Below are 6,000 nucleotides of genomic sequence, written 5' to 3'. Positions count from 1 at the left end.
AGTTAAAATAAGTTTTAAATAGTATGTTTTCTACAGATCGTTACTAAGTTTAAAATTTTATTGAATACAAATACATCTATTGAGTAAAATAAATCATCTCGGCATTCATTTCTGTCCAGTATCAGGCTGAAAGCATGCACACAAAGGAGTATAATACACAGGACCCCAAAGATGAAAACTCAATTCTAAGGCTTCTCATTCTGTGTCAGGCTAAAATGAATAAAATTCATAAAATACAATGCAATAAGTACATTATGGGGCACAGTTTTAAATACCTACAATGTAAAAATTATCAGGCCTTTGTCTTCTGTTTCTAGCCTAGTGTTGAGTACCACGTACGATGTTCATGGATTCGGGTTTGTTTTTTCTTTTTTTAAAAAAAGCATTTTGAGAAAATAGAACAGAGACAAAATACATTTGGTAGCATTTGTGAAGACTTGTTGGAGGATTCTCTAGTGATTAAAAAATTTGTCAAGGTGAGAAATAGAGGAATGAAAATACATCAAAAGAAACAGCTCATTATTCATGTAGTGATTCTCTACATTCATGAGTGACTCAAAATTTAGTAAACAATTCTGTAGAATTCTCTAACATTTTAAACTAAAAGTTTATTCATTTATTCAGCTGACAAATATTTATTGATTGCCAACTATATGCCTGGGGATGCAATGATATTCAAGACATGCTGAGCTTATATTCTACTGAGAAAGAATAAATTCAGGTATAGTGTGTGATGTAGGCTAGAATAAGGGAAGGAGAAGGTGGTCTGGGACCATATAAAAGGTGAAACCATTTAATTCCTAACATTCAGGAAAACATCTCGGTAAAACAGATATTTAAATTAAAACATATTAAAATTGTTACAGAAGTATGTTGCTTAACAATAACTTAGATTTAAAATTTCTAACAAAGTTGTTTGCTACTACTGAAGAGTAGCTGTAAAATGACTTAACATATATTTTTTAAAATAATAAAAGATGTTAATTGGAGCCTGTAAAATATACCATGACATGGTTTTATTTCATACTTAGTTGGACAATAACAAATAATGGCTAGGGTGTGGAGTAACAGAAACACATAATTTCTTGTGAAATATAAAACTAGGAGACTATTTTGCAAAACAGTTTATAATTACATTTAAAACTGTAAATATATTATAAATTAGCAAGTCCTTCTCTAAGTGCATACCCTAGGGAAACTCTTGCATATATTTATCAGAAGATGTACAAGAAATCTAATAGTGTTAGTTTTTATAACAACAAAAAACATTCTTAATTGATTTTAGGATATCCACACAATAGAATATTTTGCAAGAGTGAAAATGGATTGAATTATCGTTTTAAGTGACAACATGGGATAGATCTCACAAACATAATGCAAGGGGGAAAATCCACATAGTGAGGACTATTATCTTTAGGAATCACTTCTAAGCTCAAAAATAATCAAAACTAAATTAATATTATTCAGTTGTGTATGCATGTGTGTACAACTATTTTAACAAAATATAGGACTGTTAATATTTTTCAGGTCTGTGGTATTTCTGAGGTGTTTCAGGAAGATAGGATGGGAAGAGCACATAGGTAGAATCAATTATATTATACAATGTTCAACTGCTACTTAATTTTCAGGTGGATTTATGAATATTAGTTTTATTATTATGCATTAAAAATTATCTAGGCTGGGTGCGGTGGCTCACGCCTGTAATCCCAGCACTTTGGGGGGCTGAAGCAGGTGGATCACCTGAGGTCAGGAGTTCAAGACCAGCCTGGCCAACATGGTGAAAACCCGTCTCTACTAAAAAAAAAATACAAAAATCAGCTGGGCATAGTGGTGAGCACCTGTAATCCCAGCTACTCGGGAGGCTGAGGCAGGAGAATCGCTTGAACCTGGGAGGTGGAGGTTGCAGTGAGCTGAGATCGTGAAACTCTGTCTCGAAAAAAAAAATTATCTAAATTGTTGTAATATATTTTACAAAATATTTAATATTATTAAATACTAAGGATGTTTCGTTTGCTTTGTATTTCTTTGTTCCAACACATTTATTCAAATACCTAGTTTGTATTTGCAGAAAATTAGTAATAATTACTTACCCACCTCCCTGTGGGCAACTTCATTACTTCTGACAGGTTATCATGAATACACACATACTAAATTTTTAGTGTAGATGCATTTTAAGAAATAATGGATATTTAGACGTAGGATATATGCGCCCATTATAATAGAAAATTTGGGTAATTTCTAATTTTTGGGTAGCACTCCCCATCTATATTTACATGCTAGTTTTCAAATGATCTAAAAAATTATTATTGTTTCCATTCTTTCTCCAGAATGACAAAAACAGTAATGCTTAGAATTTACAACAATTATAAAAGGAAGGAAACAGTAGGATAATTCCTTCTTCTGAAATTTGTGTACAAATTTAGAACCCAAACAGTCATATGAGTAAACTAGAATACTTAGAATTCATTTTAAAGATTTGTATTTAAGTCAACATTTATGAAAAAAAAGAGTCTGGGTACTCATGGAAAGCATAGACTATTGAAAGAAATGTAATCGCAACTTTATTTTAACAGTGCTCATACAAGAATTCAACACAATATAATAATTTTATATTCTAAAAAATTAGAGGCAAATTCTTTATTCAAGATTACTTACATAATTGGAAGCTATTTTTATTGTGGCACAAACACAACATGACATACCCCCTTAATAACTTTTTAAGTGTGCAATATAATATTGTTAATTACAGGGACAGTGTTCCACAGCAGATTGCTAGAATGTACTCATCTTGTATAACTTGGTATTAATTTAGCCACAATTTCCTAGTTCCTCCTTCCACCCACTCAGCCTCTAGTAACCACCATCCTATGCTCTGTTTCCATAAACTGAACTATTTCAGATACCTCATATAAGAGGAACCATACAGTATTAGTCCTCCTGTGACTGGCTGCTTGCGCTTAACATAATGTTCATCCGCATTGCTGCATATAGCAAGATCTCCAGTTCTCTTTTGTTGTTTTCTTAAGACTGAATAACATTCCATTATGTATATATATGACATTTTCTTTACCCGTGTAACTGTGGGACACTTAGGATGATTCTGTATCTTTGCTATTGTGAATAATTCTGTAATGTATATGGGAGTGCAGATATCTCTTCAACATACTGATTTCATTTCCTTTGGATATATATATCCAGGAGTGACATTGTTGGATCATACGGTAGTTCTACTTTTACTTTTTTGAGGAATCTCCATACTGTTTTTGATAATGGCTGAGCACATTTAAATTCCCACTAACAGTGTACAAAAGTCTCAATTTTTCCACATTCTCACCAGCACTTGTTATTTTTATGTTTTTGATACTAGCCATTTTAACAGGTTCCTGAGCTGATAACTCACATCTTCATAAATTCATATCTTGCACATTGCATATTTTTTCTGTTCCGATTTTAGTAAATTTTGTAAAGTAATTTTTATAAGTTGTATTAACAAATTTTACTTATGAATATGTTTACTAATTTTTTGCCCTATAACCCTTTAAATACTGTGATTTATAATACCACCAAAAATCCTTATAGTTTTCTAATTAAAGCCAGAAAACACAGTTCATGGTTTAGAGTTTTTAAAAATTTTACTGTCTTAGTCTTTTGAATTTAAACATTGTCTTCAGAATATCTTCACATGCTTTTAAAAGTAAACTAATTTTGATTTGTTAATTACAATGCAGCAGTCATTGTAAAGATATATATGTAAAGATATATATCTTTATCTTTCTTATATTACTTATAATCTTTATCTTATATATAAAATATTAAGATATCTACATATATCTTTATTTTTCTCTGGAAGATGTTAGTTACTGACTGGTCTTTTACAATTTGCTTTTGGTAAGATGGAAATCCAGATAAAGCTGAAGATTGTGATTTATTATTTTATTTCTCTGTAAGAAAGTCATTTCATGGGTTAGGTGGTATTTTTTTGTTGTTGTTAATATCTCATTATCATGGACAATGTATACTTTCATGCTGCTGTGAGTTATTCTAAAACAAAATTGTTACTTAAACACCATTAATTTGCATCTGAAATAGTAGTGAGGTATTAATAAGCAATTTGTCTCTAGATCTCTCTGCTAAAATTATAAGAGGTCAACAAATGTACCATGCACTCTATAGATTAATTCAACAATTTAAAAAGTTTAAAAATACAAATTTTTTGAATAGATTGAACAAAATTAAGACAATCACCAATAGAAAATTTTAAAATGCTTTTGCAATAGAAAAATCTATGAGTTCGACCTTAAAATTTGATATTGAACTGAAAATTTCAAATGTTTTTAGTTTAGTAGTTTCAGTTTTCAATAGCAATACAATTTCTTTATTGTTAAACACTTGGAGTGTTTTTTGTAGTCATCAGCATGCTTTGTGTCTGCTTCACAGTATTTTGTGAATATAACTGTACCTTCTCTTGCAGATCATAAAAACTGTAGGCAAGGGATTTATCTATGTCTTTTACTTTTCTCAAATCAACAGCACATAGCACATAAAGTTTATTTGAAGAGCTTTGCATTTAGGTAGGTTAACTCATTTTAGGGACCAACTTGGAATCTATCACTCTGAATACATATTGGTTATTTCAATTATGTGCATTCATTAAAATTTGGGCATAAAATAAAAATGTAAGCTAATAAATATCTATTTCATGTGCTCATATGTTGTTAAAAAATTGAATGTTTTGTTACATATTCTTTGTGTCAGAATCATAAAATATGATAAGAAAATAATAAGAAATATTTATGCTTTCAATATTAAATTAAAACAATAGATATTTTAGAATTTTCTTTTTAAATGTTTTGGTTTTTTAATGTAAGTGACATTTTGCCAAACAGAGAAGTTATCACTGTATTACAATCTATTGCTTTGGTAGAGGGAGAAGAACATTTAACATTAAACAACTATCAAGTAACTGCATCAGATGCTATACTATATTAGCTGATAATTGAGATTATAGCATGTGAAATGAAGTGATATCTAAAAACCTGGAAAAGTGGACAAAACTTGCCTCAGATAGTTGGTAATTTTATCAATGGTTACTAAAATAATCATCCCTTTGCATTTTATGTTTTTTCCCAAAAGTAAGCATTTTCTTTGTTTTCTGTCTGCAAATTGAAGTATAAAAAATAGAACAATGCTATGTATATCCATACAATTTTATGTACACAGTGCATGTTGTACTACAATTTTAACTTTTTTTTTCCTTGAAGTATGTTAGCCAAGAATGTGTCTATTTTACTGAAGATGAATTGGCTTTACCTCATTTTTTTCTTGAGCTTTTTATAAAATTGGAAGGATTTAAAACTGAATTTATCTAGTCACCAAAGTTAAATTTGGTGATTTTTAAAAATTCAATACTTATGCTAATAAAGAGCTAAATAAATTACCTTAAAGTTTGAACAAATGAACTGAATTATTGATCAATATTAGGAAAGTGGGAAAAAATCAGTGTCTTAGGATATTTGCTTTATTTATAAATAACTTAAATTGGTTTTAAAAAACATGACCCCTTATAGGTCTTATTTATAGCAAATGAAAGAAAATCAGGATCCCAAACTACTAAGGCCAGAGACTTGTTTGCCTATTTAAAATCAAAATGAAGCTAATATTTATTACTAGCAAAAATATTGGTATCCTTATAAGTGTCCTATTTTTAAGAGTTGCTATGTGCTCAGCAATTTTGTAAAACAAGCACGTTTATTCCTAAGTCAAGGGTGAGAAAAGCGTACCTTAGAATATTTATAACTTTAAAAATTTGCAATCTTATAAGGTAGCAGATCTCAGATCCATTCCAATGCTTCTTGACTACCAAGCTGGCCTTCTTATCCTCAACATGTGTACAACCTCCCTGATGGATGCCAACCACTCTCATCACCAGTCTGCTGCAACTGCTCCCAATAGATCAATAGAGTAGATTTTGTAAACCTGTAAATCTACAAACTCTTGCAG

This window comes from Homo sapiens, chromosome 1 (assembly GCF_000001405.40).
Source record: "Homo sapiens chromosome 1, GRCh38.p14 Primary Assembly".
Taxonomy (NCBI): Eukaryota; Metazoa; Chordata; class Mammalia; order Primates; family Hominidae; genus Homo; species Homo sapiens.
The sequence above is the reverse complement of the archived record's forward strand: the minus strand, read 5'-3'. Positions refer to the sequence as shown.